We start from the raw sequence: 24,533 nt of genomic DNA, 5'->3' as shown, positions 1-24,533 counted from the left end.
GAAGCTCACCTATGCCCACGTGCGCTTCCAGAATCATGCTGACATCATTTGCACCATCGCCAATTGCTAACGTGATTGGGTGCTCTTTTGAAAATTTGATTAATTTAACAATCTGCAAAAGAAAGAAATGCGGAATTTATCTTCTCTGTTTCACTTCTGAACAGGTTATTCATTCACTAGGCAGAAATAACAAAGATGAAAAGTTAGCCTAGGCAAATAAAAAAATTAACTACTTAGAGGTAATTTACGACATTCTGTCTGTTTTCTCCATATAGGATAAAACCTTTTTCATATTGAAAGCAAAACAAAATAAAGTAAAAGAAATGAGGTATGATTAAAATGACGTGAGCTGGAAAAGGCTGGTAGACAAACTTTGGCAGTAGAGATGTGAGATATATGAAGTAGCTTGTAGTTATTGTTATATTCCTCTACTTAAATATATGGAAAAGTGTGTAAATCCTGGGAAAATATATTTAAATATACAGGGGCAAATGTGAACCCTGCATTCTGTAAGATCACTATTCCAAGGTACTTCAAGCTATTTGGTATAAAGCATCTATTTCTAAACATAAACTATTCCTAATGCTATTTTAATTTTCAAATTTGTAACGTGCAAAATCAAATATGACAATTTTATGTAAAAATAATTTCCAAGTTTTTAGTCAATTTCTTTATAATCTTTTCCCCCCCATCTATGTGCCTAAATGTAACAGTTCAAGCTGTAAGAATGAAGAGATGGGGGGAAACGTGGGTGCCTTCTTGTTTCAAGATAGGAAACTGAAACACAAGTTAATTTGTATGAAATGTTTCAAAAGCCAGTTGAGAACTTAAAAAAGTACTATGGAATACATGAAGAGCGAATGGCAAATCCTTAGTTGCTGTTCCATTTGGGAAGTAATTCTGTAAGGTTTATGTGCAGTTACGCATGTGAGGGAGAGGAGGACATCAAACCGTCTTCCTCACATGGAAGGTCTGTGAATGCTCTAGGCTCGTCATTCTGAGGACCCTGGTTCTGTGTTTTTAGTGAAATTGACAGATTAGTGCACCCACATGCACAAAGGCTCAACTTTTCACCTCCTTGGTTTCCAGAGTTTGTGTGAGACGCATTTTACCTTAACCACTGGTTTGCTCTGACCAATGATGGATTTATTCATGAACAGTTCAAGAGAAATTGGCCTATCATATCTAAAATGTGGTATAACAAAGTCAGAACTTTTCTAGGCTTCCTGATACCAGAAAGACATCCATGTTTACAATACATTCCATAGTGCTTTCAAAACTATTTAAAGAAAAAACTTCAGGTGTGCGTTTCCCACAAGAACATGGCCGCGTGAGACGTTTGGAGTTTGATGGACAAGACAAGTTGAATCCTCGTGGCATTTCCCATCTGCAGCCTTTTCGGCAAATTATTCCCATTTGTAAAGCTGGTGCCCTCATTTGTCTGAGAGGGTTATTTTGAGACTAAATGCATTCGTATCTGTAGGAGGCACACACTAGGTGCTCAGTAATGTCAGCTCCCTTCCCTTACACCTTTAGTGTAGATTCTCAGGAGTGATTGAGATAGCTTTTTTTTTTTTTTTTAACAGAAGTCAGCCAGGGCAGCTGTCCTGGCCACTGCATCTGGAAGGGTCATACATCTGACTGGTCATCACCCACTAATCACAGAAGCTGGCCCGACAAGCAAAACAAGATCTGCGTTTTAAATCTCTATCACGGTTGCTTCTATTTTTAACAGGTGGTACCCTGCTAGATTGTTTAACAATCTGAGGCGGTGAGACCTAACGGAAGGTTTTCAGTGTTTTGGACGCCCTGACCACCAGCTATCGAGGACGGGCGGGCAGCACCTGAGCCTTCTGCAAGGGCGCCATGCGGCAGCAGAGCACCGCGCTGCAGCTCCGGCAGATTTCCAGGAAGAGCTCCCTGTAGTTGCCGGAACTCCCGTCTTCTCGAGGCTTCATTATCAGAGACAGTGCAGCTCCGTCGATAATTAAACCGTAGTCCTGCATATCTGCTGAAAGTCTGTTAGAGTACGTGAGTCAGAAAGATTGCTCAATCACTAAATCTATAGATTTTAGAAGACTGTATTGTTTTTGGATATCGACAGATGCTACAAATCCATGGGATTAAGAAACTAGTGTTTCTTGTTTTACCAATACAATTTTTATAGTATTGAACATAACACCTTTTGTCGACATTTAAGAGTGTATTTTATGAAACATTCCTATTTTAGGTAAAGCAAGTGCAGACTCTCTTTGTGGACTCGTTAAGTCCCTGTACTTTTGAAACAACAGGAAGGCGTTCATCTTGTGGTCTAAGATCTTGGTTGGTCTTTACTCTCAACCTTCTTGGTCACAGTCTTTACAGCTAAGTCCTTGGGTTTCTGCCTGGATGACCTAAGTTGGAAAGAACATGGTCATAATCTCCTCTTTGCTGGGTTTCAAAATGACAAGAAGGCTGGATGCGGTGGCTCACACCTGTAATCCCAGCACTTTGGGAGGCCAAGGCGGGTGGATCACCTGAGGTCAGGAGTTCAAAACCAGCCTGGCCAACATGGTGAAACCCTGTCTCTATTAAAAGGTGAGCGCTTTTAATCCCAGCTACTTGGGAAGCTGAGGCAGGAGAATTGTTTGAACCTGGGAGGCGGAGGTCACAGTGAGCCAAGATCACTGCACTCCAGCCTGGGCGACAGATTGAGGCTCCATCTCAAAAACAAAAAACAAAAAACAACAAAAAAAACCCTCCAATCCCTAAAAGGAGTTCTGCAGATTGCAGATCAGGTAGAGGGAATTATCTGTGCTATTTATGAATAACTTAACATTTGTGTAAATTAGAGAGCTGCTTTCGCTTTATGTACATGAATGAAACTGAAATGATTCAAATAACATGTAATCTCAGATAATGCATCTAACACCAGTAAGGACAGCATCGATAAAATGTATCTGAATAAACTACTGAATATTCTTGGGAAAAAAACAACTCTTGGGCATGTACTGCTTCGTCTTAGACGAACAACCATGCATTATTAATATCTCCACTTCCTCCAGCAGATGCTTGAAGGTGCCTGAAGCAGAGCCCCTAAGTCTCAGAAACAGATGAGAATTATCCCACTCAAAATATTTTATCCATCATGTCTTTTTGCATCTGTTAGCCGGCAGTGTGAAACTGAACATACACACATACACACACATATGTGAAAAAGACACATCACAATTGCTGGAAAAAACAGCCCGTTTTGTTCCCAGTGTTCACCTGACCCCTAAGAAGCTGGCATTAATGCCCCAGGGGAGAACCGAATTCCCAGTAGAGACAATGCGGCTCCCCGACTTGCAGGTGAAGGCCACTGGGTCTGAAGCCCCTTTTGCGGGAGTGTGGGGGTGGGGGCGGGGACGCGCTGCCTACCCGGACAGGTTGTCTCTGGTCAGGCTCCCGCTGTGGCGCAGGACCGTCTTGCTCAGCTCGAACAGGACGTCGTGCAGGCTCTGCTCCTCGATCCTCTTGGTGGTCAGCTCCAGCAGCTGCGTGTTCCTGCGGAAGAGCTTGCAGGCGTAGCACGTGGCCGCGGCCGTCTCCATCTTGTCTCCCGTGAGAACCCAGACTTTGATCCCGGCCTTCTGCAGGGCCTCGATGGTGTCTGCAGCTTTCTCCTGCAGCCTGAGGGAGGCAAAACCAAACACAGCATAGAGAAAAGTCAGTGCTGACCCAGGAATCCAAATAAGGAACTGCAGAAACTTGCAAAGCTGTCAAAATATCGTAGCCCCTCAAAATCAAAACACTCCACACTGTGGCTCATGATCTCACCACGAAGTACTGAAGCAGCTTCTGAAGGTCTGAACTAGTGTTTCACAGCGAAACACTTCCTAACAGCAGAGAGATAAACATGGATCAAACATGTGAGAAGTAAAGGGCTGTCTTGTGTCACTGACGTCTGACAAGCCTGGCGGTTTTGTGTGTAGGTGGGACTCACTACCTGGGGAGGGTTTCAGGAAATTATAACCACCACCAAAAATGTCTCAACCATGGAAAGATGGGATCTGGACTCAAGGTGGTCAGGAATATTGATTGTCTTTTGTTTTGTATAAACTGTTCTAAGTTTGTCACTTAGAACCCACTTGGGGTCCAGGTACCTCTAAATAATATAAAATACTGAGAATAACACTAGTGATTCTATGGCCAACAGGTGCCATGGGCTTGCCACATGCCAGGCCTGTGTGACACTTCCTATGTGCAATCTTTCATGCTTACCATGATGTCACGAGTAAGGACGCTAGCACCACACCTATTTACATATGGAAAACCCAAAGCCTGCAGACGCTGCAGAAGGTGTCGGGGGTAAGCGGCTCTTCCGACAGCAGTCAGACCACTGCCCTCTCCTTGGGAGATCTGGGGTCAAACCATGTCTGCCTCACTTTGGGGCCTCCATTTTTTCTAAGTTTCAGACTACTTTCGTGTGAAGTAACGTGCCATGCTTCTAGAAAGTATGAAAGGAATGGATTTAAATTCTAACTGGAAGGATCTGGTTAGGTTTTGGGAAGAACTTCCTAGCTAAAAGTCTCAAGATCAGACAATCATAGTATTCTATAGATGAAAAAAAAGCCTGTAATTTTATGTGTGTGTATGTATGTGTATATATATATGTGTGTGTGTGTGTATGTACATATGTGTGTGTGCATATATATATATATAGAGAGAGAGAAAGAGAGCGAGCAAGAGAACGAGAGAACGCCTTATGTTGCCCAGGCTAGGGTACAGTGGTATGATCTCAGCTCACCGCAGCCTCCAACTCCTGGGCTCAAGCGATCCTCCCTCCTCAGCCTCCCAAGTAGCTAGGACAACAGGTGCCTGCTACCATGCTTGACTAATTAAAAAAAAATTCAAGAGATGGGATCTCACTATATTGCCCAGGCTGGGCTCAAACTCCTGGCCTTAATCAATCCTCCTGCATCAGCCTCCCAAATTGCGAGGATTACAAGCGTGCTCCACCGGGCCTGGCCCTGTTTACAAGCGTGCTCCACCGGGCCTGGCCCTACAATTCGATTCAAAAGGAAGCTGAGGCTCAGAGATGTTTCGCACTTGCTGACTGGAGATTATAAGGAAATAATTTATAAGCAAGTATCATCACGAAAAAGCCACTGAGATCCCCCCCCGCCAACCAGGCATTAACTCTCCACTCTTCTACATTCCCATTCCAGTCAAGTCAACCTGCCCCCCGCCCCAGGGGCTCTGTCCCATCTGCTCTGCCGGAGGCATCCCCACGCTCCTCCACCAAGGCCTCTAAAGATCGACCCAGCTGCTCCCCAGGCAAACACCATCCTACGGACACCCCTCTTCTCCTGGACAGACAGCAGGTGAGTGACTGGCCACTAGAGCAAGGACGCAGCCCCCAGCAGCAAAGCCTTTCGGCGGCCGTGGCCCTGCGCTCTGAAGCCTTCCCACGTGCAAGTCGCGTTCTTTACACGGTGCTCTGTGCACTTACTCTGGACTGAACAGGGGAGAGTGACTTCAAAACAAAACACAAAACCACCAAACCAAAACTTCCCACTTCGCCTAATACTCCATTCAGATCGAGAACTCAAGGAACATTTGTTCAACACGCTCAGAAAATGCAGGGTTAGTGATAAGGATTTCAGTTTTGGACCGAAATGGATCTTAAAGACTTTCAAACTTGATGCCTTTAACCTCTTCTAGGAGATAAACTCCCAGTGAACTTTCTGAAGTTTCTGCTTCATTCTCATCAATTGGGGCATTTTTTTTCTTCCATTCCTACAAACCACTGAAATCCATGCCTTTCACTCAGCTCGGAAGGCACCATGTGGACCAGACGACTGTTTCTTAGTGGCCTCAGCCTCAAACAACTTTCAGTCCCCATTGTGGAGCTGGGGCACACTGGCAGCTCTTGCCTTAGAGGTACCTGAAAATCTGTAATTGGTAATTTTGCCAGTTATGATGATTATTAGTTTTTGTAATTTTCTACTTCATTAAGTTTTTTCAAGTAATGATAAACACATTGAGTATGTAATGATCTAAGAAGTAATACCAGTATTTGGAAAGAACTAGCAACAAGTTTAGGAACAGAGTTAGTTGTTGATTCCATTCTAAAGAGTAATTACAGTCAGGCATGACTGCTCATGCCTGCAATTCCAGCACTTTCAGAGGCTGAGGTGGGAGGATTGCTTGAGGCCAGGAATTTGAGACTAGCCTGGGCAACATAGTGAGATCCTATCTCTACAAAAAATATAAAAAATTAGCCAGGCATGGTGGTATGTGCTTGAAGTTCTAGCTACTCAGGAGGCTGAGAAGGGAGGACAGCTTGAGCCTAGGAGTTTTAGACTGCAGTGAGTTGTGATGGTGCCACTGCACTCCAGCCTGGGCAACACACCAAGATGCCATCCCTTAAAAAAAAAGAAGAAAGAATTTGTAAGAGCCCTTCTATCTTGCCTGTTCATAATATGATATGACAAAGCTATTTTCACTACTTCCTGGGAAAGTGTGCTTTCAGGCATCTTCTTCATGGACAACAAAATATCCCCCAGGCATGACCTTCCTGACATGACTCCAGGGTGTAGCAAGACACCTAGCCTCTCCCTGAGCAGCAAACACGCCCCGTCGGCTGTGCGGATGGCCTCCCTCCCGTCCACTCGCCCTCACACGCCCTGGGCCGTCGGCCTGCATCCCAGTTTGTCTCTCAGGACGGGATGCATGCGTTTACTTTACCGGTCCTCAACAGCTGTAGCACCAAGCAGAGTAAGATCTTTCTCTATTTGCTCATAGGCTTCTGCTAACTTTTTCTCTCGATCTTGAAGGGCCACTTTGGCAGCCTGCAGCAGCTTACAAATGCCTTCATATTCTTCTTGGATCAGCCTTTTATAAGCAACACACAAAGTTCGGAGCCCCTCCTGCAGAACACAATGCAGCGTTTAGCACGAATTCAAGGTGTCACTTGCTGAAATATTACGCTCCACGGCCTTCCCAGTATCCCTTCTCTCATTAGACTAACTAACCCAAGAATTGTAACCCTTTCAAAACTTACAGTACTAAGTAAACAAAGAAAGAAAGATTATAATCCAACCAAATCTTGAAAGGAGTAAGTCATCAACAAGTGAATTATTTAAGTCTACATTAAATACCAAGAATCATTATGGATTACAGCATTTTCAGACTAGAAAGCCTGGAAATAAGTAACAGAAATCAGAGTCATCTATCAAAAGATAAAATTTGTTCCTTTATTTTGACAAATGCAGAGTTAAATTTAACCTTTTTTTTTTAAGGATAATCATTTGTAATTTTATGGGTAATATCAAGTGATATTTCTAAAGTAAACATGTTTTATGTGGGAAGTTTGTAAGGTAGGTTGTTCTTTCACAATGAAGGAAACCTGCCAGGTTATTTATCAAAATCATTGGTTGCACAGGAACAAAAGAAATCAAGAATCACAAATTCCTTACTGTGATCATCATTCTGGATGTTACCATACAGAGAGAATGCAGCCGCCACCAGCAAGACACAAGGAATGGGGGCAGAGGCTGAAGCAGCCACACAGGGGGCGGTTTACAGATGAACCTCTTCATTCCATCAGTCAAGGCTGCTGAGCGCGACCGTCACAGAGGTTCACACCTGATCATCTAGGGTGTTCCCCTTCCGTTTTCCCTGCTCCTTCAGCCCCAGCCCTACTGATAATAGTAAAAGAACCATAATCCTCCCAAATAACCATTTTAAAATCCGGCAGAATGCTGGTTTGTAAGAGTTGAAACAATGTTTTCCGTTCTATGAGATGAAGCGTCTCCTAACTCTCAGGGAAGGCTCATATTTATCACTAGTTCCGACCTCTTAACTGGTGTGGACAGAATTGCCACTGGGTCAACGGCTGTCATGGCCCTTGAGCTCTCAAAAGCCAGAAGTTGGGAAAGGGGGAGTTGAAGAAGTCAGAACACAAGACAGGGTCTATGTGTGCCTGAGTCCTGTTCTCCAGGAACATTCTGGAACTCCTTCCTTCCCATCCTCCAGATATTGTCTCCTGGTCAAGAATAAGTGAGAAGCCAGTGGACCCGTCTCAGAGGAAAGTAGCACTGAACAGACGCTGCTCAGCCACCCCAGCCTCACCTCCTGCTGAGCACACGACCTTGCAGCTTTCTGCTCACGGGTTTGCCTCTATTGTTAGGCACTGGGTTCTCTGGCTGTGGGCACTGTGTCTGACTTCACCACTGAATCCCTGGCACACAGCCAAAACTCAACAACGTTTGCTGAATAAATAAGTGGTTGAAATTAGATCTTTTGTGCACCTGTTGATCAAGTTACAGATTGGAGACATAAATGCGAATTGCAGAATGAATTCTCTGACTTTTCCTAAGAGGCAATAAAACATACAAGATATATAGCTTCAGTCTGAAACCAGAAAAATTACATAACAAGAAAATGGTTTTACAGGATAATAACCCAAAATGGTCCCAGAACTTAGGTTGCTGTGAGTGATAAGCAGAAGCTTTTGGAAATAAATATGTCGCTGCTTTTAAAAGTCAATCAGGGACTTTCTCTTGTGGTAACACAGAACAGAAATACTTTTCTCTATTCCTCCTGCTAAGTACTACGAAAACCCTGGACACAGCACATAAAACAAAGCCAGACAAATACCCTACAAGAAAACTGTAGAACAATATCCCTTAGAAATATAGATGCAAATATGCTCAACAAAATACTAGCAAACTGAATCCAATGGCACATAGAGGATCATACACCACGACCAAGTGGGGTTTATTCCAGGAATGCAAAAGTGAGTCAACATATGAAAGTCAATGCAATACATGACATAAATCCCACATGATCATCTCAACTGATGCAGAAAAGGCATCTGAAAAAAAACCAGCACCTTTTGGTGATAAAACCACTTAATAAACTGGGGAGAGAAGAAACCTCCTCAACGTGGTAAAAACCACTTAAGTGAAAAAACCAGCAAGGCATGATGGCTCACGCCTGTAATCCCAGCACTTTGGGAGGCTGAGGTGGGCAGATCACCTGAGGTCAGGAATTCAAGACCAGACTGGCCAACGTGGTGAAACCCCATCTCTACTAAAAATACAAAAATTAGCCAGGCGTGGTGGTGCATGCCTATAATCCCAGTTACTCGGGAGGCTGAGGCAAGAGAATGGCTTGAACCCAGGAGGCAGAGGTTGCAGTGAGCCGAGATCGTGCCATTGCACTCCAGCCTGGGCGACAAGAGCAAAACTCTGTCTCAAAAAAAAGAAAAGAAAAACCTACAGCTAACATCACCCTCCATGGTGAAGGACTGAAAGCTTTTCCGTAGGATCAGGAACAAGACAGGGATGCCTGCTTTTGCCACTTCTATTCAACAGAGTATTAGATGCTCTAAGTGAGAGGATTAGGCTATAAAGAGAAAAAGAAAGTTTCCACATTAGAAAGGATGCCTTTCTAAGGCCTATTTGCAGATGACATGATCCTATATCCAGAAGACCATGAAGAATGTGCTCCCCACTAACTGAATTCAGCAAAGACACAGGGTACAAAGTCAACACACGAAAACTAGTGGCATTTCTATACACTACCAATGAACAATATGAAAAGGAAATTAAAAAAAAATTCCACTTCAGTAGCATCAACAAAAGTAAAATACTTATGAATAAATTTAACCAAGGAGGTAAAAGACTCAAGGCTGAAAAATACCAAAGTTTGCTGAAAGAAATTATAAAATACCTAAATAAATGGAAAGATATCCCATGTTCATGGATTGTTAAGATGACAACACTACCCAAAGTGATCTACTGATTAAATGAAATCCTATCAACATCCCAATGGCTCTTCCCTCCCGCCCTTCCTCCGTTTCTTTTTTTGAGACAGGGTCTTACTCAGTTGCCCGTGGAAACATGCAGTGGTGCCATCACGGCTCACTACTGCTTTAAACTTCTGTGCTCAAGCGACCCTTCCATCTCATCCTGCCTAGTAGCTAGGACCACAGATGTGTGCCTCCACCCCTGGCTGATTTTCCTTTTGTATGTTTTGTAGAGGCAGGGTCTTGCTATGTTTCCCAGGCTGGTCTCAAACTTCTGGCCTCAAGTGATCCTTATGCCTCAGCCTCCCAAAGTGCTGGAATTACAAGTATGAGCCACCGTACCTGGCCCCCAGTGGCATTTTCTGCACAAATGAAAAAGCCCATCCTAAAATTCCTATTAAATCTCAAGAGGTTCAGAATAGCCAAACCATTTTATAACAGAAGAACAAAGTTGAAAGACTCACATATCCTGGTTTCAAAGCCTGCTAGAAACTGACAGTAATCAAAACAGCGGGAACTGGGATAAAGACAGACATAGAGAAAATGGGATGGAACAGAGAGCCCAGAAATAAACCTCCAGGTACCGTAATCAAATGCTTTTCAGCAAGAGTGTCAGTATCACTCAGTGGGAGAGGAGAGTCTTCACCAAATGGTGCTGGGAAAACTGGATAACTGCATGCAGGGAAATAAAGTAGGACCCTCACTTTATGAAAGATGCAAAAATTAGCCAAACATGGATTACACTCCTACATTTAAGAGCTAAAACTAGAAAACTTATAGAAAAAAACACAGTGGTGGCAAATCTTCATCATCTTGGATTTCATAGCAGTTTCTTCGATATGACAGCAAGCACAGCCAGCGAAAGGAGAAATTAACTGGACTCGAAGGACACACAGGCCCCTCTGGACTGTCTTTCTACTTATTTTAACTTCTCCTAAATCTGTAATTATTTCAAAATAAAATGCTGCCAACCGAGGGGGCCCTGCAAGTGCCCAGCTCACTACCCGGAGAGCTTCCAGGCCGAGGCTCGGGCAGGGGAACGTAGCCGGAGCCAGTGAATTCCCTGAGTTATGGGGCAGACCTGGGTGTCAAGGGAACAAGCACCAGAGTTCCTAGGATGGAGTGGATGCCAGAGGCTGTGGACGGCCCCTCAAGCACCTGCAACTGTGAGGAAGCTCCTGGAGGCCAGCAACAAGCCATTAGGAGGAGGGTGGGACAGCCTGCTGCCAGGAGGCATGGCCACTCACCAGGCACAGCGCTCAGGGCCTGGCAGTCTGGGGAGCACCACCCGGGGCAGGCACTGCTGTGGGTCTGCTGGACATCACGAAGGCATGGCCTGAAAGGAACAGACTGTTCCCAGGAACTCAGCCACACCCCAGAACAAGATTTAAGATCTCCAGGAGGACCACGATACCCAGCATCCAACAAAGCCCACAGGCAGGCATCCGGCCACAGGCCACCATCACGCAGGGGCACCGTCCCTGCCCCAAACGAGGGGACTGTGCAACACTGTGGCTGGTCCAGAGCTGGCAGCAGGGGTGCAGTTAGCGAGGAGGATTTAAACAGTCACTGCCACCGTTATCACACACGTCCCATCCGTTAGCGAGGAGGATTTAAACAGTCACCGCAATCGTTATCACACACGCCCCATGTTAAGTAGGGGCATGAGGATACAAAACCACGCTGGCGGAATTTCTAGACATGAAAACTCCGATGTTTGAGGAGAGGGGTGTCCTGCGTGGGGTGCTGACAGGTTAGACGCTGCACGGGAAAAACTCGTGACATGGCAACAGAAACCGTCTCTAAAGAAACGTGGAAAACCTTAAAGGGAAAAGCCTTTGTAAGCGGTGAGACAACATCCGGCAGTTGAGTACATGGGTCCTGGAACTGCTGAAAGGGAGCAAGGAAGAAAAATATCTGTAGAATAATTGCTGAAAAATGTTAAACTTGATGAAACGCCGCAGATCCGAGATGCTCAACACGGCTGAGCAAAGAAACACAGCATCACTCCACCAAGGCATCCCATCACGAAACACCTCAAAAGCAGCCAGAAAAGGGAAGCTGTGGAAAGAGAAATGAAGACGCTCTGACAGGAGGGTCCCCAGGAGAAAAGGACACATCGGCTCAGCCCCAGACACGCACAGCAGGCGGCCCGCAGCAGCTGCTTCCAAAACAGCCCCAACTGGAAACAACCCAATGTCTGCCAACAGGCGGAAGAATCAAGAAACTGGTCCATCCGTAGAAAGAACTAGCACTGCGAGTGCCCGGCAAATGAACGAGTGCTGCTAGTGCCGGCAACTGGACTGGTTAGTACTGCTAGTGCCGGCAACTGGACTGGTTAGTATCACTAGTGCCTGGAAACTGGACTGGTTAGTACCGCTAGTGCCGGCAACTGGACTGGTTAGTACCGCTAGTGCCTGGTAACTGGACTGGTTAGTACCGCTAGTGCCAGCAACTGGACTGGTTAGTACCGCTAGTGCCTGGTAACTGGACTGAATAGTACCGCTAGTGCTGGCAACTGGACTGGTTAGTACCGCTAGTGCCTGGTAACTGGACTGGTTAGAACCACTAGTGCCTGGCAACTGGACTGGTTAGTACCGCTAGTGCCAGCAACTGGACTGGTTAGTACCGCTAGTGCCGGCAACTGGACTGGTTAGAACCACTAGTGCCTGGCAACTGGACTGAATAGTACCGCTAGTGCTGGCAACTGGACTGGTTAGAACCACTAGTGCCTGGCAACTGGACTGAATAGTACCGCTAGTGCTGGCAACTGGACTGAATAGTACCGCTAGTGCTGGCAACTGGACTGGTTAGTACCGATAGTGCCGGCAACTGGACTGGTTAGAACCACTAGTGCCTGGCAACTGGACTGAATAGTACCGCTAGTGCTGGCAACTGGATTGGTTAGTACTGCTAGTGCCCGGCAACTGGACTGGTTAGTATCACTAGTGCCTGGAAACTGGACTGGTTAGTACTGCTAGCGCCTGGCAACTGGACTGGTTAGTACTGCTACTGCCCGGCACTTGGACTAGTACTAGTACCGCTAGTGGCTGGCAACTGGACTGGTCTGTACCACCAGTGCCCAGTAACTGGACTGGTTAGTATGGCTAGTGCCCGGTAACTGGACTAGTACTGCTAGCGGCTGGCAACTGGACTGATTAGTACCACTGATACCTGGCACTTGGACTAGTACTGCTAGTGCCCGGCAACTGGACTGGTTAGTATGGCTAGTGCCCAGTAACTGGACTAGTACCGCTAGCAGTCGGCAACTGGACTGATTAGTACTGTTAGTGCCCGGCAACTGGACTGGTTAGTACCACTAACACCCGGCAACTGGACTGGTTAGTACCACTAACACCCGGCAACTGGACTGGTTAGTACTGCTAGTGCCCGGCACTTGGACTAGTACCGCTAGAGGTACTTGGACTAGCGGCCGCTGAACTAGTACCGCTAGTGCTCGGCAACTGAACGAGTGCTGCTGTTCCTCACGACAGAAATGAACGGGCCCACACGGCCGAGTCTCAGCAGTTATGGGAGTGAAAGACGCCGGATACAACAGCCGCCTTTTGTGATTCTGCTGATAGGAAGCTCCAGAAGGTGGGCACGAATCTGCAGTGACGGCGAGTGGAGCGGTGGTCTCCAGCGAGTGGGAGTTGGCAGGGATGGGAGTATGAGGGCGCGAGACAGTCTCTAGGGTGAGGGATGCGTCCCCTTCCCAGCAGGCAAAGCCTCCACCTGTGTGTTCGTGTGTCAATGCCCTTGCTGCTCTCGCATTTTAAATATGTATAGATCAATGTATGGCAATTACATCTCAAGAAGACTTTCTGAAACAAGCAGCAAGTGGACTTTACAATCATCACAATTCACATAATCCATGCGCCTACTCTCCTGGGCAGCAGCAGTGGGGATCCAGCAGGTGGAAGATATTTGGTACTCAGGCCATGAAGACCCTCCATGGAGGACCAGTCACCTGTGACCTGTAGCCATCGTGTGCTCAGCATGGCACGGCGACCACGTCACAGCAAAGCACAGCCTCGCGCTATTGGAAAGCGAGCTGCAGATGGAGCTGCCCCCTCAGGAGCCCCCACACGCCCCTGTACTGAGGCTCATTGTGTGTCGAAGCGCAGGACGCTTGTGCTGCTCAGAGGAACCCGCTCGGCTCCCACCCTGCAGCTCTGTGGCTGGTGGAAGTCAGTGATGTATTTTCCAGATCCCTCACAGAGAAGTTCAACAATCTTTAACCTGCTGCTGATTTATGGATTCCTGTTGGCTCCAACGCAGCTACTTTGTAGTGCCAGGAGCTGTTTTAATAGCAACGTAAAGATGATGATCCGCACGTCGACAGCATTCCACGAAGTTCACAGGCTCTGGCTGCTGCACGCACGGGCTCGCGAGCGAAAGGGCTCCTGTCCATCGGCAGGAATTCTTAATGCTCTGACATCTACAGTAATCAAGTGTTGCGACTGACAGCGAGGACAAACATTGCTTTACATTTAAATGGTCAGTGAAGGGAGCGCTGAGTACCACGACCTCTAGTCCAAGGTTCTCTCGGTTCAGCCTTCCTTGGTGCAGAGCCAGCCTTGGAAGTCTTGTTTTCCAGTGCGTAGCCACTCTGGCCAGCGTCATTTTGGACCTCTGGGAGGAGAGCCTGTCAGTTACTGTTTCTTTTTCATGAAAAGATGATAAGGTCGGTGTGAGAGGAGGTGCTGCCCTGGGCTGGAGTGAGGGAGAAGACCCCAGGGTGGTGTCGGGAGAAGGGTGCAGACACCGTGGGACAAAGCAGCCACGTGGGGAGCAGAGGGAGCGCGTCCACCCAGCCACGCATCACCCAACGTTAGGGCATCTGATGGGAGGGAACGCGCCCACCCGGCCATGCGTCACCCAGCTTTAGGACGTCTGACAGGAGGGAGTGCGTCCACCCCAGCCACGCACAGTGTAGCTTTAGGGCATCTCACAGGAGGGAGCATGTGCACTCAGCCGTGCGTCACTCGGCGTTAGGACATCTGACGGGAGAGAGCACGTCCACCCAACCATGCGTCGCTCGGCGTTAGGACCTCTCACAGGAGGGAGCATGTCCACCCAGCCACGCATCACCCGGAGTTAAGGTGTCTGACAGGAGGGAGCGTGTCCACCCCAGCCACGTGTTGCCCGGCTTTAGCGCGTCTGACGGGGAGGGGAGGCCCTGCTGTGAGAGACACTCAGGCCGGCCCCCTACCGCAGCAGCCCCAAAGACAGAAAGCCGGACCCACGGAGTGGGAGGCTCAGGTGTGCGGGCTGCTGGGCGGTGCTATACAACAAGTGGTGGAAAGAAACCTTATCATACAAGCTTAAGACCCAGATGGGGAAAGAAACCCAAACAGGTGATGTCACAACAGAAAACGAAAGTGCTGATTTGTTTTGAAGCAAATCACTAGAAACGTCAACACAAAGACTTTTTGCTCCAATACAATAACCACAAACGTGCTAATTCTGACTCCCCAAAACATCAATCAACCAACCTGGCACCCACCCGAAAATAAAACCCTGTGCAAGGCTGGGGAGGAGATGGCCTGTGCCTGGCTGGACAGCCTGTGCCTGGCTGGGTATCGGAGGCCCCCTGGGGTCGGTGCCGGCTGAGGCTGCCTGTCTGTCTGCCTCTGGCCCAGCTGATTTCTAAACATTCCCCAAGGAATACAATACGCCATTCCCAGCCAGGAACTTGTGGAACATGGAATTCCTTCCTGACAGCAGGGGAGCTGACCGCCACGAGGCCCTCCCCAGCCCGGCTCTCACCACTGCGTTACGCTCCACTCTGGCTCGGATCTGGTCAACTTTGCCTTCTATCACTCGGGGGAATATCGAAGAATCTGCTCCTTTGCAAAACAGATAAATTTCTCCTACAAAATGAGAAAAATGAGGAGTTTAATCACAATATGGGGAAGACTAGATTATTTTTTAAAATTATGCCATTATTAAAAAACAAAAAACAGGGATAGCAGTGTGGAAAGCTTTTTAAAGATTTTAATGGACCAGTTAACACGCTACAGTCAGGAAAAAATAAACCCACAGATAACCTCCAAAGCCTCGTTTTATTCCTACACCCTAGAAATTCCACAGGAGAGGCAGGAACGAGGAAAAGAACTTGGCTCCGGGACTCTGTTTTTTCTCTGGGAAAGACACGAAAGGGGACAAAATGCCCTCGGGACGGGCGTTGGGGTGACCCAAAGGGGGTCCTGGTTTCTGAAATGCTGGAAGGTGAACACAAATCCCCTTCGGAGAGTCATCTGTCCTCATGCAGAGCAAGGCAGCCGGGCCACCTCTGAACTTGGAAGAGTCAGGGGAAACGTTTGCGTCATTTTTTCCCACACGTCCAGTAACACTGTGATCGCTGTGGACATACTTGTGCTGTGAACGTGGGCTTCTCAGGCCTCAGATAAAGCGAGTTTCTCTTCCAGGCACTGCAGCATACAGCAAAGGCCACGACAGTTCTGCTGTGATGTCACCTGCTCCTGACACACAGAGCCCCCTCTGCACCTGAAGCATCCCTGGACGGCGAAGCCACGTGGCACTCTGCCAGGTGGCTAGTTTGTGCCTGGGCGCAGGTGCTCCCGACACACAGAGCCCCCTCTGCACCTGAAGTATCCCTGGTCCACCAAGCCACGTGGCACTCTGCCAGGCGGCTGGTTTGTGCCTGGGCGCAGGTGCTCCCGACACACAGAGCCCCCTCTGCACCTGAAGCATCCCTGGACGGCGAAGCCACGTGGCACTCTGCCAGGCGGCTGGTTTGTGCCTGGGCGCAGGTGCTCCCGACACACAGAGCCCCCTCTACACCTGAAGCATCCCTGGTCCGCGAAGCCACGTGGCACTCTGCCAGGCGGCTGGTTTGTGCCTGGGCGCAGGTGCTCCCGACACACAGAGCCCCCTCTGCACCTGAAGCATCCGTGGTCCGCGAAGCCACGTGGCACTCTGCCAGGCGGCTGGTTTGTGCCTGGGCGCAGGTGCTCCCGACACACAGAGCTCCCTCTGCACCTGAAGCATCCCTGGTCCGCGAAGCCACGTGGCACTCTGCCAGGCGGCTGGTTTGTGCCTGGGTGCAGGGAAACGCCGTGCTACGGCGCGGTGACGGCAGGGTGGGAGAAACACCACAGCAGCCTGAGCGGCACGCGTAGGAAGCTCCATGCCCAGCTCCTGGCGGGGCAGAGCCCTGAGACCCCCAGACACTGAGGGCCCTCGGGAAGTCTACTGGGGACCAAATCCAGAGGGCCCCAGAGTGGGCAGGCAGTGGTCCCCAGGGTGGTGGTGGGAGGGACATGGGGAGGGGACGCTCTCGGGCTGACGACCCGGATCCAAGGCCTGGAGCTTGGACGAGGACTCAGGAGTAGGAACAGGGGTCCGCCTTGCCTTCCTTCCTGGATGCCAGGAAGCACTAACTCCTGAGACACCAACAGGGAAGCTGTGGGAACATGGCTACACTTGACGCTCATGTGGCTGAGGTGGCTGCCAACCTGCAGCCAGAGAGGATGGCACCTGGTGACACAGGTGTTGCCAATACATGCAGCAAACCAGTGCCGAGCAAAGGCTGGAGGGCATGGGGGAGGACGGAGGCTGAGGCTGGAGGGGACAGGAGAGTAGGGAGGCTGAGGCTGGGGGGGGATGAGAAAGTGGGGAGGCTGAGGCTGGAGGGGACAGGAGAGTAGGGAGGCTGAGGCTGGGGGGGGATGAGAGAATGGGGAGGCTGAGGCTGGAGGGGACAGGAGAGTAAGGAGGCTGAGGCAGGGGGGATGAGAGAATGGGGAGGCTGAGGCTGGAAGGCACGGGAGAGTGGGGAGGCTGAGTCTGGAGGGCACGGGAGAGTGGGGAGGCTGAGGCTGGAGGGCACGGGAGAGTGGGGAGGCTGAGGCTGGAGGGCACGGGAGAGTGGGGAGGCTGAGGCTGGAGGGCACGGGAGAGTGGGGAGGCTGAGGCTGGACGGCACGGGAGAGTGGGGAGGCTGAGGCTGGGGGGGATGGGAGAGTGGGGAGGCTGAGGCTGGAGGGCACGGGAGAGTGGGGAGGCTGAGGCTGGAGGGCACGGGAGTGAGCAGGCTGAGGCTGGGAGTTGGACCCTGGAGGATCTCTGCAGAACTGCAGAGGTGTGACCACAGAGTCTCAGTTGCTTAGCATAGAAAAGCAGGGCCCGGGGGTTAAACTACCCAATCGATGTCAGAGCCGTTTCCCGACTCCCATGGTTTCCAGCCAACGCTGTTGTTTCATCAGATACAGTTCAGAATGAGAACTGTGGTCCAAATGACATAATGATGCATTCTTGAACAACAGCACATTTTTTACTAGAAAATTCATGTTTCATGGCTCACAACTCATGCCAAGAGCATGTGAATGGCTTAACTTTCCCACTGTCTCAGCTTGTGAATTCCACTGTAAGACACAGGACACCTTCAGCCTGAAGACTTGGTGAGGAACAGCCTTGGAATAAAAAAACCCAGAGGACAGAGCAAAAGTTAATCTACAATGAGCAACTGAAGACCGTGCACACACAGGTGACATAACCGAACACACAGGATCCTGTCCCCAAGACAGCTGGGTTGTGTCGCAGGTGCAGCCGTGGTTGGTGGCTGTCCCCTCTGGGACCAAGAAGGGCTTACTGCCATTTGGAGAAGAGAAAGGGCTATAGAACCACAGTTTGAGCCCATGGTGGGGGGTCTTTCACTGTGTCTCACAGACCAGCTCAAGGACATGGAAAGCCAGGCGTGACAGCAAATGTCCCCGAAATGGCTGGAAAAAGGGCATCAAGGAAGCAGCTCCTGGAGGAGCTCCAGGAGGGTGCACTGTTAGGACTTTCCTTCTCTTTCATCTTTTCTGCTTGCTTTTCTTTTTCATAGATGAATATGCTTATGTACTCTCCTTTTCTTCTTTCGAGTCGGTCTTCTGTGTACTGCGTACATAATACCTTGGGTGCAGTAAGCATCCGCAGGATCCCCCAAAAGAGAGATTTCACATCTGCCTTTGAAAGGGAAGGCCTGATGCAGCCGAGTGGCCTGTGACTTCCGAAGTCCTTCCTCAAAATTCCACCGTGGAGAATCCCAGGAAAGCACACATGACTGAGGTACAGACATATAAAAAAGGGTCCTGCGGACATCATGGGAGGCCCCTGTTGGGGCTGCTCAGCCCCAAAACAGTGAGATCCGGCTCTGACAGCCGCAACCCCCTACAGGGCTGAGCCCAGGAGGAAACACGAGCTGTGAGCTGGCTGCAGGGTCTCCCCGCCCAGCAGGGAGAACTCCAGTGCAATTAGTGAACCTCTCCGGGGATGACTACTACTTACAGAACACCTTGCTTAATTACATATTCAAACTTCTCTTAAAAGTAACTGATGAGTGGCTGGCTTCAGATGGCAGGGCCGTCTCTCCTGCAAGCTCTCAGTTCCTTGGAGAGGCCCTAGGAGGTCCACAGGCGTCCCAGTGCGGATAGGGATATTCTCATGGCACAAATGCCTCCAACCCGGATTCTTCGAGTGATCCAGCGGCTCTTCAGCCTTTTGATAGTAACAGAAGTTATTTACAAAGATTCCACGGCATAGCCCACAATGCCCTGAGGTCTTGGGCATTCAGGATGCAGCAAAAACCCCTTGTGAGCGTGTGGCAGGGCCAGCTCCGGGGTGAGTGCGCGGCAGGGGCGGCTCCGGGGTGGCTGATGCTTGCCTTCTTGGGCACCGTGGTCAGCCCCGCAGGTCACGGGCAGCATGTTCCAGCCACGGCTCAACAGCTAGATTCGACTGCTACGGGGAAAACCACGTGAGTCAGCCCCGCAGGTCACGGGCAGCATGTTCCAGCCATGGCTCAACAGCTAGATTCGACTGCTACGGGGAAAACCACGTGACGGGATGGACCAGGAACTTCCCACCCAGGATGCGTTTATCCCAGATAACTCCGAGTGGCTGAGACTCTCAGGACTGCGCCTCATCCGAGCCGGGGGGAAGGGTTCTGACACACAGAAGTCTCGCGCATCTGAACCTGTTCTCAGACCCTGTCCTGCTGATCCCACGGTCTGGCTGGCAAAAGCTCTTCGTGGGAGTCCTGGCAACATTCACACACAGATTGTTCCTCATCCTATGACCATCAGTAGACATCTCACTGTGGAGCCTGGATTCATCCCACATTTGATGGCGTGTCTCAGAGGTGATGCTGTGTGACACAGTGGGACTGTGTCTAAGGAACCAGCGAAGGCAGGCGGCAGCCCCCCAGAGCAGCCATGGCACCCTCCTCCCTCCTGAGGCTGCTGCCCACCCCAGAGCCGCTATGACTCACAGGGCGTCACCGAGAGTCACACTGCCTCCCCCTACAGCTCCTTCGGGGTCTTAGGAAGTGAGGCACCATGGTCCTGATCCGAAGGGTGCCCGACGGCACTGATGATGGCCCTGCTCTGTCTACTGTGTTAAAATTAAACTCGGCACATCTTAGGAAAATGCTGGCATGAAGCTCTCCAGCCTGTCTGGTTCCGGGGAGTGGCTGTTTGGTTGTTTGCCAGGCATCTTTCCAAAGAGCTAAATGCAGCCTGGGAGTGTCTGGTTTTAGGAAACAATGAAGAGTGAGATCCCACAGCTCTTAATGAAGCCCTGCTCTGACGCTGCGTGGAGGGCTCTGAACGGCACAGGATTTGGGAGCACTCGGCGGAGGGTGGCGTGACGTCAGCGTGTTGCTGAGAAGAGCATCGGTTCTGCGTTCGGGATGCGTGCAGGCAGCCAGTGGCTGCAGACGGACAGACAGCTCCACCATAGAGCAATGTCCTGCACGCTGCTATGGGGCTGAGGTCCGGGAGAGGCTTCCTGAGCCGTCCGTGGAAAGGACAGATGGGTGAAAGGCCCTTCCTATGGGAAAGCCCACGGCAGGAAGCGGGGAACAAGGCCACTGTGGGGGCTGTGGGCAGTGCCCTCTGGGGACACTTGAGGACAACCTGGTGATGAAGGTGAGTGAGAGCCTCAGAGGGGGCGGTGGGAGCTCTTAGGAAGTGATGGCCATGCAAAGGGGTGGCCTCTGCAGACGGAGCCCACGGGCCCTGCCTGTCCAGGGCAAACAGCCAGGGGCGCCTGCACGTTCAAGCCTCAGCACTGTGGGCGGGAGCCTGAGGGGCTGCGGTGTTGAGTGACCTGTGGCATGTGTCGTGACCTGCTGAGGGTGGGGGGAGACGAGGTCGTCCACCTGTGCTTGGGGGATGCAAAGTGCCTGGGAGAGCTCCTCGCAGGGAGGTCAGGGGACCACAGATGCATCCACCTGGACTGCAGAGGCAATCGTCAGGGACAGGGGCAGCCACAGGTCAGAGTGGGAGGATCAGGAGAGTGCCCAACCGTGTGGGTCACCAAAACATCATGGCGGCCACAGGGCTCTGACTGTGCCCCGCCACTGCTCATCCCAGCATTCCGGAGCACGAACCGAGTGTGCTGTTCTCACAGACACACTGTTACGGCAACTGCCAATCAACAAAGCTCACTTTGCAACTTTGAACATTATTATAGATACATTTGCAAACCCACATTACCTTTTCCTTGAAAATGGTTATTTAAAAACATTTTATGTCATTTAGCTCTGCATGGAGAAAAGCGGGTGGGGGATAGGGATGGGCAGAGGAACTTTCACAAATGGAATTAAGCAATTTTCAACAGTAAAGTGGCCCCAACTCGACACTAAAAGATGGACAGAGCAAGGGTGCCGGATGTTTAGCCCAGGACTCCTTCCTCAGCATTCCAGAAATGTTGCACTTTTTAAAAATAAAAAATTAGTATTTTGAGAGGATTTGTCTATAGTTTTTAAAAAAAGAATAAATCATTCTTAAACCCTAAATCCTTAAAGCTCCTGTAGAATTTAGTCATCAGAATAAAACACAACCACCACGTATAACTTAATAAATCAAAAGAAAAAGAAATTTTACCTGTAGCAGATTTTACAATTACACTCATTCTCCTTCTGACTGAGTCAAAACTCAAAATTTCCAGCAATTCAAACCTGAAAGAGAAATGCAGAAGGTCACACCGTCCACACGGGTGCTCACGTGATTCCATCTGGTAACTGTGGAGCTCTCCACAGCAGAATGGCTGGGGCAGCCCTGGCCCTTCCTCAGGGGACACACAGAGGGCTGCTGGGTGAGGGGTGTCCTCCCATGGATGCCCTGAGAGGCCTGGATTTGAAGGACGCAGCAGGTGTACCCAGTGGGGCAGAGTCTGGGCCCTGTGGCACCGGCTCCTCACTACGTCCCCATCCTACCCAGGGCATAGGCTCAGATTCTGCCAAGCAGGCTGCGTTCCCTACGCACCGACTCCCTCCCTAAACACCGCTGAACAGAGACTCAAAGTTGTGTCAGAGATTGGATCCTTGTCAATGAACTGGCGTTACCCTAAGAGATCAAAACCAAAGGAAAAAGCGTTTTGGCTGGTGCTGTCCTGTTACCGGAAGACTCAGAAAACCTGTGTGGCGTCTGGAGCATCGGAAGTGTTTGGCAGCCCCCGCTGCTGCCCCTCAGCCTCCTCAGGGCCTTGGACTCAGTGGGAAGCTGCGGAGGGGCTCTGGCCGCAGTGCCAGCCCAGCTCAGAGCCAGGGGTCCCTTGGCAGAGCCCTGATGGGGGCTCTCATCTAGGCCACGACCTCACTACCTCCACGGCTGCAAACCCGGAGCCTCAACGGCAGTGAGTTGCGGCCCCCGGGAAGCCCAGGGTGCTGTGGAGAGGGTGCAGCTGGTGCCAGCGGAGGGCCCAGGAGCCCCGCCGAATCAAGGGATTTGTCCTTTCTCTTCCACTGGGGAGTTTATTTTCCCTAAGAATGAAATTTTAAAATCCACGTGTTTTGAGGCCATCACCACCAGATCTTGTGTCTTTGCCGGAACCATGACCGCACATTCGTGCTTGTTGATAAGCCACCACCCCCTCTCCTGAGTCAGATCTCAAGATGGGTCACTTATCTCAGGGACAAGCAATTTGGGACAGAGACAGTCCCTAAAAAATGGGAAGAGTTTTAAAGATATGAAAAGTAAAACAATCCAACATCAAACTGGTGACTGAAAAGCGTAACTGTGCAAACTGTTTTCGACACGACGCTGTGCTCCCAGCACGTGAGCCAGGGTTCCTCCCTGCGGGACTCATGGCCACACCGGGGGCAGCTGCTCACTCCCCTCGTGGAGGCAAAGGGGCCTGGAGAGGTCAGAACGCGGCCTGCAGCAAAACCTGACTTCAGGTGGCTTAACCCAAAACATATTTGACAGTGAACTTTTGTTCACTGAACTCCAATTTACATCTCCAAGAAAAACCATCCAGGGGAAGCAGCGCTGTGGCTGCACCCAAGCCCTTCTCTAAGTGTCCAGCACTTCTCCAGAACATTCTGGTGACATTCCTGGGGTGTCACTGGGAAGGAGAGGAAGCGAATTGTGGGAGAACATAGAGAACTTGTCTTTTCCCTCAAACGCAGAACCTTATAAAGAACACTCTTTATTCGTTAGTCCTTTCACATCTGAGGGTGAGGTCTGCACATACCTTTCGATGTGGTTCTCCCTGTTTAATATCTCCATGTAATTGTCCTTCAGCCTTAGGTAGGTAAAGCCAAGTCTGCAATGAGAAGGGAAACCTCGGGGTGAATCTGAGATTCTGATGTTCCTCTTTCATAGAGTATTTGCTTTATATTTTGGTAAAGCGTTCTTTTCAAAAAAGAAATACTTTCAGTTAAACAGAGATTATAAACTGCATTATAAAGTTAGGAAATTATCATAATGAACTTATTCACCATCTCAAAAAATCTTCCAAGAGCAAGAGAATTTCTACCCAACCCAACCCTCCTTGGCACACAGCAGTGAGGCACATTCTTGTCAGTATTGTTCTCCAGAAGAGCATGGCAGGCACATGGCCTGCAATCCTTGCTTCGATGACACTTTTGCTCATTGATTCGTGGACTTTGTTGTTGTTGAGCGGAGAACACGATGCCAGAGGGAGAGGGACCCTGAGAGGCTGTTACCCCCACACCAAGGCCCTTGAGTCACTGACGGGGAACGAAGGTCCAGCGCAGGCCTTCAGCCAGCACGTGGGTGCACCCATCTATACAATGCCTCCTCCTGCACGCCTGGGGGTCAGCGACCTTCAGGGCCTTGTGGGAGCCACTGGGACGGCAGAGACAGAGCATGGCTTTGGGATGCGAGAGGCCAGCAGAGGACCCGGGAGACAGACGTGCTTCGCGGCACCAGGGGGATGGCAGTGGAGGCCTCTGGCCAGCCCAGGTGGGAGCAGCGGCTGGAGGAAAAGCTTCAGGGCAGGGAGGAGTCTCAAAGGTGGGCGGGGTAGCCTGCCCTGACTTCTAACACCTGTGATGAAGGCAGTGGCATTCCTGGGCACTTGTGTTTCAAGAAGAGAGAAACCCAGCTCCAAGAAGCCTCACCTACGCATGTGTGGGTTTACGCATGGAACGAAGGGCCCCGGTGATACTGTTGACGTATCTGTGCTGCTACTCAAGTTGCATGGAGAAAACACATTAGTTTAGCAGCGACAAAAACATGGCTGTAATGAGGTGAGAAGCGCGAACATGATTCTCACCATACTCAGTCCCTGAAGGCACTTTTGGGGAGGGGAGGTTCAGTAATACAGAAGTCATGAGCTGGATGGATTTGAAAATGGCTCCCCTGAGTTGAAATTATGCCATGTATCTGGAATGTTTAAAGTATTTTTCCAAGCGTTTGCTTAAAGGGTGGGCGGTGAGAGGTCCCGCACCAGCTCTGCTCTGTCCGGCCCAGGCTGTGGCTCTGGGAAGGCC

The 24,533-nt window shown here is 50.0% G+C and overlaps 1 protein-coding gene across 13 annotated transcripts in view, besides 1 other annotated feature; it reads right to left on the bottom strand.

Annotated features, from left to right (window-relative positions):
• The window catches only part of ATP11A (ATPase phospholipid transporting 11A), a 197,131-nt gene that overhangs the window by 29,239 nt on the left and 143,359 nt on the right, over window positions 1-24,533 (bottom strand). For 12 of the 13 annotated variants that reach the window (NM_015205.3, XM_011537480.3, NM_001405663.1 and 9 more), the window contains exons 15-21: window positions 23,270-23,341; window positions 21,679-21,752; window positions 15,551-15,654; window positions 6,712-6,893; window positions 3,400-3,651; window positions 1,845-2,019; window positions 10-112 (exon numbers count right to left, since the gene is read on the bottom strand). In NM_015205.3, coding sequence (NP_056020.2) covers window positions 10-112; window positions 1,845-2,019; window positions 3,400-3,651; window positions 6,712-6,893; window positions 15,551-15,654; window positions 21,679-21,752; window positions 23,270-23,341 — 962 coding nt within the window. Of the gene's footprint in view, window positions 1-6; window positions 113-1,844; window positions 2,020-3,399; window positions 3,652-6,711; window positions 6,894-15,550; window positions 15,655-21,678; window positions 21,753-23,269; window positions 23,342-24,533 lie in introns of those variants that run through there. The other variant, XM_047430219.1, reaches the window with a different exon arrangement.
• Window positions 6,594-7,094: an enhancer, noted in NCBI's record as "H3K4me1 hESC enhancer chr13:113505150-113505650 (GRCh37/hg19 assembly coordinates)". NCBI's record gives its function as "activates a minimal SCP1, AML or CMV promoter by ChIP-STARR-seq in primed H9 embryonic stem cells {active_cell/tissue: H9 hESC(primed)}" and the evidence as "EXISTENCE:reporter gene assay evidence [ECO:0000049][PMID:30033119]".

Source organism: Homo sapiens, chromosome 13 (genome assembly GCF_000001405.40).
Source record: "Homo sapiens chromosome 13, GRCh38.p14 Primary Assembly".
In the NCBI taxonomy this organism is placed as follows: Eukaryota; Metazoa; Chordata; class Mammalia; order Primates; family Hominidae; genus Homo; species Homo sapiens.
This window is presented reverse-complemented; position numbering and strand designations above follow the sequence as displayed.